This window comes from Homo sapiens, chromosome 7 (genome assembly GCF_000001405.40).
Source record: "Homo sapiens chromosome 7, GRCh38.p14 Primary Assembly".
Classification (NCBI taxonomy): domain Eukaryota; kingdom Metazoa; phylum Chordata; class Mammalia; order Primates; family Hominidae; genus Homo; species Homo sapiens.
In genome coordinates this window covers 93,459,076-93,474,091 of record NC_000007.14, presented here as the reverse complement: position 1 = coordinate 93,474,091, position 15,016 = coordinate 93,459,076, and the positions used below count along the sequence as shown (strand labels likewise).

Here is a 15,016-nt window from a genome sequence, read left to right as displayed (position 1 = left end):
CACTTGATGTAGGGTCTGGTATATTTTAAGTTATCAAATGTTATTTTAAAAAATTATTGTAGTTGCTATGGTGGCCTAATATTTTAGTGTGAATTTCAGCAAAGATATGAGTCATCCCCATGAGAACTTATTATTTCTATCAAGTTTGGAACTTTACTTTGTACTGATACATATACACTGCCTAAAAAAATTAAAATAAAAAAAGCAGCAAGGCTTTATCATACTGTAACCAGCACTGAATATATCACACAAAAATAATTGAAAAAATAATAAGCCTGATGGGAACCAGCAGACACCACAAAGCAAGCACTTGGAAAAAGTTCTTTCTCAGGGCTCAAAGAAAATCTTCTTATCCTTTTCCTCCAAAATATTTTAGTGTAAGCTGAACTCTTAAGCTCAGTGGGCAGCCCCAGAATCACTGACCTGCTGGTTGGAGGGATAGTAAGATGTCAGGCTTTCCTCCTCTTTGCTAAGCATCAATTTCAAAAAAAAAAAAAAAAAGGGGGGGGGGCCAAACCAGTGTTACCTTTTATTTCTATGCCAAATCCAACTTCCAGGTACCATTTACATCATCTTATTTTCTCACCTACATCTGCATCTTAACAATAAGGGCTTGCCTGTTTTGTTTCCTCTGACCAGTTGGCACATTGCCACAGAAATAAGAGGCTTAATTAGTGCTTAATAGCTCTGCAATAGATTTGGAATCAAGTAGACTCGGATTTGATTCCTGACCTTTCTACCTGCTAGTTATGGAAGGGAAATTTACTTATATATAAAATGGGAAGAACAATATTCACTTCAAAGACTCATTATTAACGTTAAAGAAGATAATTCTGCAAAGTGCTGAGCACAGTGCCTGGCACCCCCATAGCGAAGGTGGAGATCTTTAATATGCCAATCCAGCTGAGTTAGGGATTTCATTAACTAGCATCTATGAGATACTTTAAAAAGTCAACATTAAAGGCTGAAGCCTGGATCCCTATATATTTTCTGTGGGATGAAGAGAGATGATTCAAATGAAATCTCTTGAGAGGCAGAAAAATGGCCTCTTGATATATCCCTTAGTTTTGGACTTCTTTGTTCTATTGGATTTAACCATATGGGATTGGGAAGATTTGAACATTTGATCCAAAAATTACTGTTTCATACAGTTAATCTAATGAAAAAACATTGCAAGTAAATAAAGAAAGGTATGTTCTTGTTCTTCTCTAGTAGTTTCCATCTATAATCAAAAGTTTAATGTCTGTTAAAAAATTATGAGGTAGAGTATAGGTAGCACTTTGGAGTCTGACCGATATCCATGTCTTTGGGTCTAAATCCTGGTTCAATCTCAAGCTCCATGACTCCTCTCACTGTCTGCTTTGAATTTGTAAAATGAAGATGGCAATGCCTACTTCACATGGCTTTGCTAAAGATAAAATGAGACAATACATATTAATACACTTTGTATAATACATGATTTGTGATAGTCTCTACTGACATACTCACATTCAAGTTCTATAAAGTGATTAATATGTTGGAATGGCTTTTAAGCTTTAATTTATTATTTTTCCTTGTTGGGATTTTGAGATATTAATGCAATAACTGTTATGTTTCATTAACAGAAAAGGTTACAAAATACTGTGATGAAAAAGGTGTTTGGTTTAAACATCCTGAAAACAATCGAACCTGGTCCAACTATACTATGTGCAATGCTTTCACTCCTGAGAAACTGAAGGTAGGTTCTTTTTCACGTTTCAGTATTGAGTGAGAATGTCATTATTTGTACAAGGAAATGGACGCATAACTGTAAAATATCTGCCACAAAGAAGCCAACAGGTTTTGTGGAAAGAAATCATATGATAACTGGTAAGTTCTAGGAATCTCTAGAGTAGAATTAGAGAAAATGACATTTCACTTCTTGGTTGGCACTCAGAGTCAAGAGTCAATTGAAGTTCCGTGAGCATACAGAATCAGTCCATTTATGGCAGGGGGATAAGTGTCCATAGAGCAGATGAAAGGATTCCCAATGATGCCAGAAATTAGGCAACATTTCAAGGGACTCTCTAACATCTCTTTTCCTGGAAGAGTTTCAAAACTACAGATTTTTCCACAAGTCACAAGATAGCATGCTTCCCCTGTGTTAGCCACAACCTTAGTTTTGTAATAAAGCATAGAAAGAACTCCTAAAGTAGGGCATCTCATCAGTCCACTAATACAGATATGGCTGCTTAGATTATTTTCAGTGGAAGTTCATTCTCAATTGTTAGTACTTGCATTTTACTGTATGTTAAATATTTTGAATATTATCTCTGCTTAGAAACATTTATCTAAGCAAATGGCGAGTGGGGAACAGATGATCTTTCTTCCTCAAATGTATCAAAAATCTGAAAAATTCACCAAGTCTACAACCAGCCTCCTCACCCTACAGAACAAGGAGTTACAGTTGGTCAATGTTTAGCTGTGCAGGGCGTCTCTAAGCAACCCTGCTGACTCTAACATAAACCTATTATTTCTGTCAAAGATAGGCCTGTATACTAAATAATTATTCAGTTGAAAACTAAAAGCACATTAGTGTCTTTGTTTGCTGTTGAGATGCTTTCAGGGTGTAGAAAAGTTTTCTTTTATTAAAAACAAAACAAATAACAAAAACAAACGAGATGAACATATGGCTTAGGGACCACTTGAATAGGAGGGACACCTCATCACAAGCACAAGCTAAGGGCACCACAGCCAGTTATCTCTTTACAAATGGTTTAGTCACCCTGAGAATCAGATGCATGTCTACACCCTAATGGAGAGCTGTTAATAAAGTCTGATTAATAAGCTATGTCACAGAGTAGTGAATTTTCCGAATGAGTGTTGATTATGATGTTACAGAGAAAAATTATACTCATGTTAACCAGATTGTTGTAAGTAGTGCAAGTCCAAATCATTCTTAGTGTTGTTTTTGGACTTCTCACGTACACTGGCCACATCTAAGAATGAAATAATTTAAAGAAGAAATGCTACTCTCTAGGCACTTAGTATAATGATTAAAATGCTTTTCACATTCTCAGTAAACTATCGCAAGAACAAAAAACCAAACACCGCATATTCTCACTCATAGGTGGGAATTGAACAATGAGAACACATGGACACAGGAAGGGGAACATCACACTCTGGGGACTGTTGTGGGGTGGGGGGAGGGGTGAGGGATAGCATTGGGAGATATACCTAATGCTAGATGACAAGTTAGTGGGTGCAGCGCACCAGCATGTCACATGTGTACATATGTAACTAACCTGCACATTGTGCACATGTACCCTAAAACTTAAAGTATAATAATTAACAATAAAATAAAATAAAATATTGAAAAAATAAAAATAAAAATAAAAAAATAAAATGCTTTCCACAAATCTTCCATATAAATATAGTCACATTAAAATTTGAAGGAACCAACCTAGAATTCATTAAAAAAAAAGTCAACCTTGAGAATGACACAAGGATGGCAACTAAATTATGAGTTGTTGATTTAATCTTACACATTTAGACAACTCTATTTCAGAAGAACAAATGTTTTTAAAAGGAGTACTCTGGAAGCAACTGAAAAGAATATGAATTAAGTTATATAAATTTTTCTTAGAAATAAAGTATGCAAAGATTTTTTAAAAGACCGACAGAAGAGGGGGTGCAGATACATATCCAAATTAATTAAGGGGCAAGAGTGTTCTACATAGTAAACTATTTAGAAGGAAGAACTTTTAGAAAATGCTCCTCCTGATATTGTCTACAAGTGAAGTTAGAAAAATAGCCAGAAAATGAATTCCTGGGAGAAAAGATAGGTGAGTGTGTGTGTGTGTGTGTGTGTGTGTATAAGATTCCTAAATCCCTCCCAAGAAAGCTACCTGAAGATTTTATCAGCTCCAATTATAAACCAACTATTCTAACTTTATTAACATTTCCTGTAAGAGTAAAATGTGCTATTAAGAGAGTGGTATCAACAATGAAAATGCCCCAAAAATATGGAATGCCTGGTCAAATGATGCAACAGGCACAACTTAGGAGAAGCTAATTAGTCCATTTTGAAATTCTAAGGCCTAGAAAAGGAATGTTCATTTCAGGATAACAATAATGCACATAACCAAGAAAGGGCTCTGAATAGTTTGGATGCATTTTAGCTGACTAGGGCTTCAATCCCAGACTCTTTCTGAGGAAATTGACAAGAATCAAAATGTTCAAGGATATATAAATTCTACATTTATTCCAGGAATTCAAAGAACTTCATAGAAGGTATTCATCCTATCTACACTACATTTGCATTCATACCAAGACCCAACAAACTGTTGAAGGAACTTAAGACCAAAAGCCAAGAGATTAAAGTACAACTACAAAATAATACACAAATTATGCTTCACCAAGAAAAACAAGTGAAAACAAAATCCCTAGTTGCAAAAGATTCAAGTCTACTTCAATTACAGCTGATGAAATTGGCTAAATAGTACAAAATGCAAAAGCTAGTGTCAAAATAGAGTGAAAGAGAGAGAAAGAGAGAGAGAGAGACCAGAAACACAGAAACAGATAAAGAGAAACAGAGAGACAGAGAAGACAGAGAGAGGGATGGGTGACTGGATCAATCTCTATTTTCTCTGTTGATAAAATTACATTATAAGGAAAGGAAAGACTGTGATTACTAGGAAAAAAGATGCTATGACATTATGCATTTTATGAGAAGGACATTCTTCCGAGTCAACATAACATTATGGGAGAATAAATAAAATTAACCATGATCGTGAAAAAAAAAAAGAATTATCAAATGGCTGCCAAGGGGAAAGGTTTCGGCTTCAACCAACTAAATACTAATGATATCATTTTAAACAAAGGCACAGAAACCTGCCACCATACTCTCTGGACCCTCTGTAGGTCAGGACAGCTTGGAAAGTCGATTACTGCTTTGCCAGTTCTGTGGTATAGAATTATGTATCCACTGTCTAAAAGATTCCAGAAGTTAAAAAACTACCAGGATTGCTTACTGGGCTTAGGGATGATAATTTTTAATGCATTTAAAGCTACTTCTGAAATATATTTTTGAATGAGGTACTTCATCTCAAGGAACTTTATTCTTTGAAAATGACAATTTATTTTCATAAAATGACATGAGTAAAGCTAAAAATTAATTTCACTATCTGAAATATTTGTTATAATTGTAGTAGGTTTTTAAAAGGAGGAAAACATTTGTTGATTTACATATATTTAGAAATAGAAATGATTTTCTCTCTGATGAATCATTCATTCATTGTTTGTTTGTTTACTTTTTGTTGTTCCAGAATGCATATGTTCTGTACTATTTGGCTATTGTGGGTCATTCTTTGTCAATTTTCACCCTAGTGATTTCCCTGGGGATTTTCGTGTTTTTCAGGTAAGTACACTCACAGCATCTGCTCTTTATTTCCTCCTTTAAGTTACTGAAACGAATGGTGAATTCTGCAAGAGTGGAGGTGGGGAAGGGTCTTCAGCAAATTACAAGCGACATGCAACATTAGGAGTCATGAAGTAGCAAGAAAAATGAAATGAATTTAAATATGCTTTTAATCCTATCTTTGGGGAGAACAGGATAAATTTATATCATTTTCAAAAGTACTATATCTTGAGACTTCCCAAAATAAGACAGTCCTGTGAATCCATAAGTATACTGTTGTAATATGGTAAAGGTTCCATTTACCATGGGTAAGTTACCATTAAGGGTGGTGGAGAGGATTCTCCACCTTCTTTTACTCCCACTCTAATTTTTGGAGACCATAGCCACAAATCCATATATACCCTGCCTAATTATTTCTTGCTAGCATATGTAAGACTAAGGAATAAACAAGCACATCAGAGCATGTTTCTACAAAACCTAATTTAAATAATGCTTGTCTTTAGGTTTTATGGTGCACAATTATGCTTGAAAGCAAAATATGAGAAAACATACAAGGAAAACTTGAATACTTTAAATTATCTTGTCATCTTACATGAATATAAAATAGGATCTTTACAGGAATGGTACATTTAAGTTAGAAACTGTTACATATGCTTTCATCACAACCAACTTTAGTGAAAATAAAGCACTCATAACATTGTCCTAAGCTGGATTTCTCAAGTATGTTCACAAATGTAGATTCAGAGTAAACTGTATGTGTATTTTTTTTTTAGACACACCACGGTTCAGTAAAAATGTTAGAAACTGAAGTAAATTAGGTAAAAATGAAATAATACATGTAAGGTGCCTGGATTCATGTCTGACACATAATAAGTGAAATATGTGTTTGATATCATTATTATTATTATTATTGGTAGTAATAATAGTCATGGTGGTATCACAGAAATGATAAAGAAAAGCCCTTTTGTAGACTCAGATGACCAACAATCATCCACACTTAAAAAATGTGGTATGTGATTAAATGTACAGTGATTCACATATAGAATGAGGGGGGAGAAGAATATATATGCATTTATCACTACTGAACTATATGTTTAAAATGGTAAAGATGGTACATTATACATCTATACTTTACCGCAAAAAATAAATTTAAAACATAGTAGAATCTTAATTTGATTTTTGTTAAAATATTGTCAGGATAGTACTAAGGAAAATTAAACCAAGGGGAGAATAATCACCTGTAAATACATCCTTAGTACAAGTACTATTTTTTTCCTTCATCATTTTTCAATCTTTGTCTATATCTTAGTCAAGATTCTTATATTGACTAAGCAATAGAGGTGAACAGCAATTTTTAACTGGATAGCAAATGATAACATAAGCAAACAGACAATGAGCTCCTTCCATAAATGGTTTAACAGGAGAAAGACTGATAAAGCAAAAAGACATGAAGTATTAATTACTCAAATTAGAATAGAAGAGTATTTTCAATGATAATGATCAGAATACAGTAATCACATAACATGATTAATCTTGGAATGTCTTCATTTTTCAATTGCACTTCATTATGGTAAATAAACACATCATCATGGTTCTCAAACAACTTTTATTTTAAAATATGCCACTAAAGCATATTTTTTAAGTTTTTTAAATATAATCATAAAAAAATTGAAAGAAAAATTCCCCAAATTTGTAATCATGCAACTAATTGTAGTCAGGACTTTAAAGGTAATAATGTCAAAGGCATAGATCTTAATTCTTTATTTCTCCAGTCACTTAAATAAGTGAGGAGATGTGAGAGCCAAATCAGCAAAGAAATTAAGAATTTTTTTTTCAACGATCATTTCTATATTAAGCTACTGAAGATGGGTGTGTTAAAGTGTGGCACAAGGGCAAAGTAGAATATTTCTCAACTCCAGTTAGTCCCAAAGCAAAATGATTCTGATCAAACCCTTGAGAGAGTGTGGGGGCAGATTGTCTAGAAAGTACCCAACTTTGCCCTACCGTCTCTCAGTTCTAAGAACCAACTAAACAGCAACTTAAATCTGGGGAAGAAAAACAAGTCTTATTGATTTATCATCTGAGCCTAATAATGAGAAGAAATGAACTGAAATAGCTGGTTCTTCAGAGCAGACACAACAAGAGACAAATGAGATATGAAAAGCACATATGCTGAGATGCCAAATATTCAAACCAAAAAAAGCTGTATAAAATTTTTATACTTGTTTTCAATCATATCTTAAACCTTACCCAAACTAAAAATATAAAGGGCATCTGTCTTCTTAAAATTTAAGTATGATCCTAACCCTTTAATGTTTTTTATATTTGAATTTCAGAAACATTAAAAGTGATTGTGGAAGTAGAAAATAATACTGATCTATCATTGGAATTTATTTGTGAATTAGCAAATTTTTTCCAGAATTTTTTTTCAAATACTCTACATCACCATCACCTTTAAGATCTTTACTGCACATTACAATAGGTTTCATAATTTATGCACTTAAATGGGATCATCTGTGTGCAACCTGAGCAAAAAATATCATCACTCCCTTACTTAATTCTATATTCGCAGGGTTGAGTAATTTTGCAAACTCCAAACAATTTTATAAAACTTTCAGGAAACCAGAGTGAAAAGTTACCCAGCTCCACTTCTGAGAGCTGACGCCCCATTCACAATCATTCCATTGAAATCTCACTGTAAAGCCCTCAGAACTCCTCAAATGTGTCTCATAAAAAGGAGGAACCCTGCAGCTGTCCTCCTCAAATGAGCAGGCCTCCTAGGAGGCCTGCAGAGAAATTTAAAGTCACTGATCATACAAGAGGCTTTGGAACTGCCAATACTTCACTAAAAACTTGGGATATTACTCAGAATTAGTTTATTAAAGCATGCCTTTAATCTTAATGTAATTTTATTCTGAGCATGCAGGGGAAGGTAAAAGGTGGAATTATGTAAACTTAAGCAAATAGAAATCATGCTCCTTGTGCTGTTGGAAAATTAATGTATAAATGTACATAAAGTCTTCAGTTTAATAGCAGAAAATTTATCTTCTATGCATTCTTCCTAGAGAAAGACAAAATGTAGAAAAAACAAGATTTTTCAGGTTTAATTCATGGAAAAGTCAGCATTAACAATCTTAACTGTTCAAAAGTTTGAATAATAGTCAAGATGATATGCAGGTCATTTCTGGTACACCAGTTAAAGATAGAAGACAGCATTATTAGGATGGTATTTAGTTTAAAACCTTCGCAGAAAAAATTGGAATGATATTATGGAAAGGGATTAAATATAAACATCAAATTAGTTCAGCAAGATTTCTTACTGCTAGATTCCAATAGTAAGTGTCAACAAGAGAGCTAAAATGAAGATACCCTTAGGGAAGACTGGTTTGGGAAAGACACATAAATGGACATTTATTTCAGTTTGATTCTTGACCATTTTCAGCAAATTTCCAATAAATTTACTTATCCATAAATTTCAATTACAATTTATCAATTTACTTTTCTGTGGAATAATCCTAAATATGTAAGCCTCTCATTGTATCACTTCATGAAAAGCATAACAGACCATTCATTAGCATTTATTTTGACTCATTGTTATCCATGTCTTTCTGATTGGTATTTTAAATATTATTCTTGCCTGAAAGCTGATAGAAATATAGGTTGGAAAACAGATGGTCTCTTCATTTTATTGTCTACATTACGTTACATTGGCCACATTGACAAAAAGCATATATAGGTAATCATGGAGGTCAACAAAAGTGGCTTCCAGTGGAACATACTGAGGGAAGACTGATTGCTCTACTACTTACTATTCTCTTTGTTCTACGTCATCTCTACATATTGGGTGGGTATGTGAATCTGTACCTTGTGTAGTATCCACCATTATACATCTCTAGCTGCCTTCCTGTTGCTCCAAGGAAACCATGAAATCAATGGTATCAAAGATGGCCTCCTTTCTTCCAACTCACCACTGGCAGGACAGACACCAAAGATAACTGTTGATCATACCACGGCATATTCTTCACCCATAGAACAGTAGTAATAGGAAAAGCAAGAATTTTGATTGAAAGAGAATTTATTAATGATAAGGATTTTGTGCTAAATCAAAAGGCATAAAGTCTCTTGTCAAATAGGGAAGATATATAATATATTGTATTTGAATTTTCCCAGGAGTTTTAATGCAATCCATTTTACTTCATTTTCTCTCTTTTTTTCAGTTCTCATGTTTATCATGAATAACACGTGATCCTAGGTAAATGAAAACTAAAAGTTACACTAGAAGATATGACTTGGGCTTGTACCAATTACAGAAATGATTCCTAATTCATATTTTCCCATGCACCAGTAACTTCAAAACAACTTTTACTTGTTTTCTTTTTGCTACTTTGTTTGCTTTGAATGTGACTATAATTACACTGTCTTACATAGGAGATATACAGGAGAAAATACTGCTGTTTCTCACCCTGTGATAGCAAACTGATTTAGTCAACTGGCAAAACTCAAGACCAATATCAAATGCCGTCTCATACAACTACAAGCTCCCAAAAAGTACACACTCACACACACGTAGGGTACTAATAACTTGAAACAAATGTGAAAGATTTACACCAGATGAACTATAACCATGAAAATGACTTTTTGCTTTAGCCTTAAAATGTGACATCTTGAGATTCATACTCAAGTAAATCATTATCTCTTTCTCACATTTGAATGACACCTTGATTGGTAGATTATGTTGTAGAAGTAAATTATGTTGTCTCATCCTCCTACTACTGGAGAATTTATGGTACTTATGGTTTCCCATCACTCAAATAATAAGCAATGTTCTGTCCATCTAAATGTCTGTTTTTTTCATAAAGGGAATAGAATATAGCCAGTGTCAAGTTAGTGCTATTTCTACCTAAGACATCTCAGATCTGACAAAAAAATGTTGTCGGCTTCTCTCATGTTCATTTAAGCGACGTATTTGTACTGAGGATTTTTAATGTTAATTTCAATTAATTCTCTCTAGCATCCCACACCTCTTCTTCAGAACAATTATCACAGTAAAATTAAATTAAAAATGGCATAGTATATAAGGGCCCTGAAGGCAAGAGCGCCTGTTTGTCCTCTGTTATATTCCTGATATCTACCAGGTCTGGATCATAATGAGTGCACAATCATATATTTTGGATTATTGAATGAATTTTGAAAAATTTGCAATACCTTCGACTCACTTCAAAAAGATGACTGTAAATGTCATCAAGTTAGTATAATACAAATTTTAAAACTCAATGAGCAAAAATTATATTAAAACTTTCAAAAAACAGAAACTCATATATTAGTCATACTTCTCCTTTGGAGGCTAGCAGTTTATCTAGTTTTAAACTATCATTTTCTCTGTGTTTCCAATGAAAAATATATATATTTTTATATAGAGAGATACAGTACTCTTTATATGTACTGTATCTATCTAAATATATATATACTGTTTATATGCATATATGCTGTATGATATATTCATTTTTAACTAGTGTTGAACAACAGGATAATGTTCCATGTTAGCTAGTTAATACGAAACTGAAGAATTTGGCAAATGTTCAGTATGATATGAAGTATAAAGTAGGAAATCATCTAGCATTTAATGTAATTCTTTGGTGTACTGGAAAATTGCTTAGTGGTCACAGCTCAAAACAGAACATTTTTCTTAAATACATTTTTAAATTTAAAAAAAAATGGGTATTAAGCCCAATGATGTGTCAGAGAGTGTTCTAGATGTATAAAATAAATTCCTTTAGCACTTTCATTTTAGTGGGAGGAAAGGAGAGAATAACAGGCAATAAATAAATATATACTGTGTCAGCAGGTGATAAGTGTTAAGAAGAAAAGTAGAGCAGGCACACAAAAGAGTAAGCTGGAGGTAGAGGAAGTATATTTTATTCAGGGTGGCTTGGGTTTACACAAGAGAATGAAGTTAATGAAGTCATTTAAGCTAATGTACAACAGCAGATTATTGAACACTCCCCAATCAAAAGAAAACCAGGCTTAAGAATATCATTGCTGTATGATACATTCATTCATACTCCTTAGTTCTAGATAATGTCAATTATCATTGGTCTAAGCCAGGCTGAATTAAACAATGAATCCCATAATTAACTGCTAGTGAGAATTATAAATTGCTGTTGTGACTATGAAGGATGGCAGGTCACAGATTCAACTGTGCTGATTGCAGCAGTCACCAGATGGAAGTTTATTCAGTATAAACGAGCATGAGGTTTCACATAAGTAATTTTTTTGTTTAAATTTAAATTTGCAACCTACCTTTAGTGCTATTATAAAACCAGTTGGGTTTGATTTATTTAACAGACTTCTGTACTGCTGAATAGAGTAGTCCACAGAAGCGTGTGTGTAAGAGAAAGCTCTTCTCTAAATCCTGTCTTTATCAGAGCCTGCCTCATGGATGTAAATTCTACATCCTATACCTGTTTAACAAGTTAAATTTTTAAAAATATTATTTATTAATGAGTTACTATAATCGCTTCCCGAAAAGTTGAAAACTGTAACTATAATAGTTAAAATATGCTCTAACAGCTGCCTTTATTACTTAAATTGCTTTTTATTGCAGAAAATTGACAACTATTTTTCCTTTGAATTGGAAATATAGGAAGGCATTGTAAGTAAACCCAGGCTATTTTTGTATTTCATCTTTCCCCAGAATTTCCTTTTCAAAATTCTTCATTTCTAACTTTATTCCATGAAGATATTTTTAGGAATAGTTAGTGTTATGAGTCATTGGCATGTTTTACGCTCTCACATGGTGAATGACATTATACTAATATTTTTTGCCTTATCAAATATGATAAATATAAGATTTTCATTTGTCTAGAATAATCACCGCAATTTTGTTATAGCCATGATGTAGGCTCTCTCTATTGCATCAAAAAATGAAATAGGATATTCAAATTAATGTTTATTTATGTGAACATTCACACCAACACATATGTACAACTTTATGAACTGGAGAGAAAAGAATAAAAGCCCCAATAAATTGCTTAATACACAAAAGGTGGGGAATGACTCTACCAAGAAGCAGCAGCACTTGGATAGCTCTCATTGGATCCAAATCACAGTATGCCTCATAATGAGATTTCATTTGAGCCTATTAAGAATTCTCTGCCTGTGTCTGAGCTCCACCATCAGGAGGGTTGGAAAAGAGGAACTACAGTGATGATTCTAGTTGAAATATAAGATCTAAGAAGATGGTAACAGAAATGATGGAAGAGGAGGATGCCAGGAGACGTGAAGTGTGTGTATGCAATGGCTCAAGGACATAGATTCAGTACCTTGTCACAGGCAGCCTTGGTTCTGACTTCACGCTCTGTGACCTCACTGGCCACATATTTTCTTCCTGGTTGCAACAATGAACAGTAGGCTTTTCATTTGAAGCACACTGCAGACCCTAATAGTTGCTAATCTAAGAGTCCTTCTGTTAACTAATTTTACAACATTTGTTATAATTAAAAGAGATTTTATCACCCACTCTTTCAGTTATTTTATGAAGTCACCCTGAGGACTGAAAACTATGACCTGCTATGTTTGGAAACATGTTTTTTAAAATCAGGCAGAAAAGTAGGAATAAATCTGAAAGAGGAGACCAGCCTTACTTTCTTCTATATGTTCTTTCATCTTTTTTTTAAAGAAAATATGAAAAATATTACCAAAATGTTTTTTTCCAGGTACTCCAACATTTTGGCACTGGTTAATGCTTTATGTTACTTTTTCTTCCAGGAGCCTTGGCTGCCAAAGGGTAACCCTGCACAAGAACATGTTTCTTACTTACATTCTGAATTCTATGATTATCATCATCCACCTGGTTGAAGTAGTACCCAATGGAGAGCTCGTGCGAAGGGACCCGGTAAGTACTGCATAGTTTTGTTTTTACTTTTATTTTAAAGGATATAGTACCTGTAAATAGTGAACATGGTGTTCATGTTGGACTTAAGCAGCTGTTTACATGTGTAATCATATTTACTTCTACCGTCGAGTTTTGCATTTTGTGAGGCATATCATTTCTATGTAGTTTCTGTAAGAAATTATAGCAGATAAGAATCATACAACAAACCATATATATATATATATATACATATATATATATATATATATTTTTTTTTTTTTTTTTTTAGATAGAGTCTCACTCTGTTGCCCAGGCTGGAGTGCAGTGGTGGGATCTCAGCTCACTGCAACCTCCGCCTCCCGGGTTCAAGCAATTCTCCTGCCTCAGCCTCCTGAGTAGCTGGGATTACAGGCATGCGACACCATGCCCGGCTAATTTTTTTGTATTTTTAGTAGAAACGGGGTTTCACCATATTGGCCAGGCTGATCTTGAACTCCTGACTTCGTGATCTGCCTGCCTCGGCCTCCCAAAATGCTGGGATTACAGGTGTGAGCCACCACACCCGGCCCAAACCATGCATTTCTAAGACTAACCAGTAATTTATTAACATTTATGACAAATGTATTGAGCACCTCTTGTGAACATAGATGATACTAGGTACACTAAGGCAGTGCTTCCCCGTGATTCTAGTGTGCCACAAATGGTTACAGGTGTGCCTAGATATTGATCCCCTCTTCATTCTGTTGCCAAGTTGGGCTTGGCCCAGTCATCTCTCCTATGAGTAGCTATTCCCTTTTGCTAATGAACCATATAAATATGATCATGTTTTGTGTCATTATGCTTTGGAAAAGGTTTATAATGACACAGGAAATGCAAAAGTTAGGGCAACAGGACATACATCTCTGAAACTCATGCCCACATGCACAATTGCAACAAGCAAATATGGTGACTGTCCTCCTTCTATTTGAGTACTATAGAGAACAGGAGAGCTGAAATCATTTAGCTCCATTACTGAGAACCATTCTGGATTTTTCCTACCAGAATTGTCCTGAGAGTTGTTCAGAATAACCCATATTTGTCATCAGTCTTCTCTCTTTATACTCAAGATACTGTTTTTCACAGTGATTTCCAATCCTGGCTGCACTTCAGAATCAACAGGGGAGATTTCATAAATATGAAATAGCTACTGTCCACATGGTACTAGAGAGTCAGTAGGTATGAGGTGGAGCCGAGGAATATACCCTGGATATTTCTTCTGTGCTGCCAAGTTTGGAAATCATCAGCCAACTACTGGATGAAGCAAATAAACTGGCAGGGGAGGACAGAGGAGGAGCACCTTGAGGCTCTGCTTTTTCATTGATATCAGTCCCTGGTATTACAAACTAACAAAAACCAGAACTAAAAAGGATTTTGGAGGTTATTTATCCCTGACTCCTCATTTTACAGATCAGAAACTTGAGGATAAAAAGGCAAAGCAATTTGCCTCAAATCATATAACTGATTGGAGCGGGGAGCAGGCACTCAAATTCAGGTCTCCTTACTCTCAGTTTTTGTTCTTTCCTTTGCATTGTCACATGTGTCTCTGTAAATCAGTGAGGGCTTAGTAACACCAAACTGGTTGATTAGTTTTCCACATCTACCAGATTAATTTTTTAAAAATCAAATCACTTTGGTGCTGTGATACCAAGTAACCATTTACTTTACAGAAATTTTTATTTATCAATCCACTGTTTAAATAATTTATAATTGCAGCCTCTATTATTTAA

General features: G+C 34.3%; 1 protein-coding gene across 3 annotated transcripts in view; it reads left to right on the top strand.

Annotated features, from left to right (window-relative positions):
* CALCR (calcitonin receptor) overlaps positions 1-15,016 on the top strand; it is a 150,239-nt gene that overhangs the window by 100,633 nt on the left and 34,590 nt on the right. For 2 of the 3 annotated variants that reach the window (NM_001742.4, NM_001164738.2), the window contains 3 exons: positions 1,605-1,717; positions 5,286-5,377; positions 13,145-13,271. In NM_001742.4, the coding sequence (NP_001733.1) occupies positions 1,605-1,717; positions 5,286-5,377; positions 13,145-13,271 (332 nt within the window). Of the gene's footprint in view, positions 1-1,604; positions 1,718-5,285; positions 5,378-11,981; positions 12,030-13,144; positions 13,272-15,016 lie in introns of all 3 variants that reach the window. The other variant, NM_001164737.3, reaches the window with a different exon arrangement.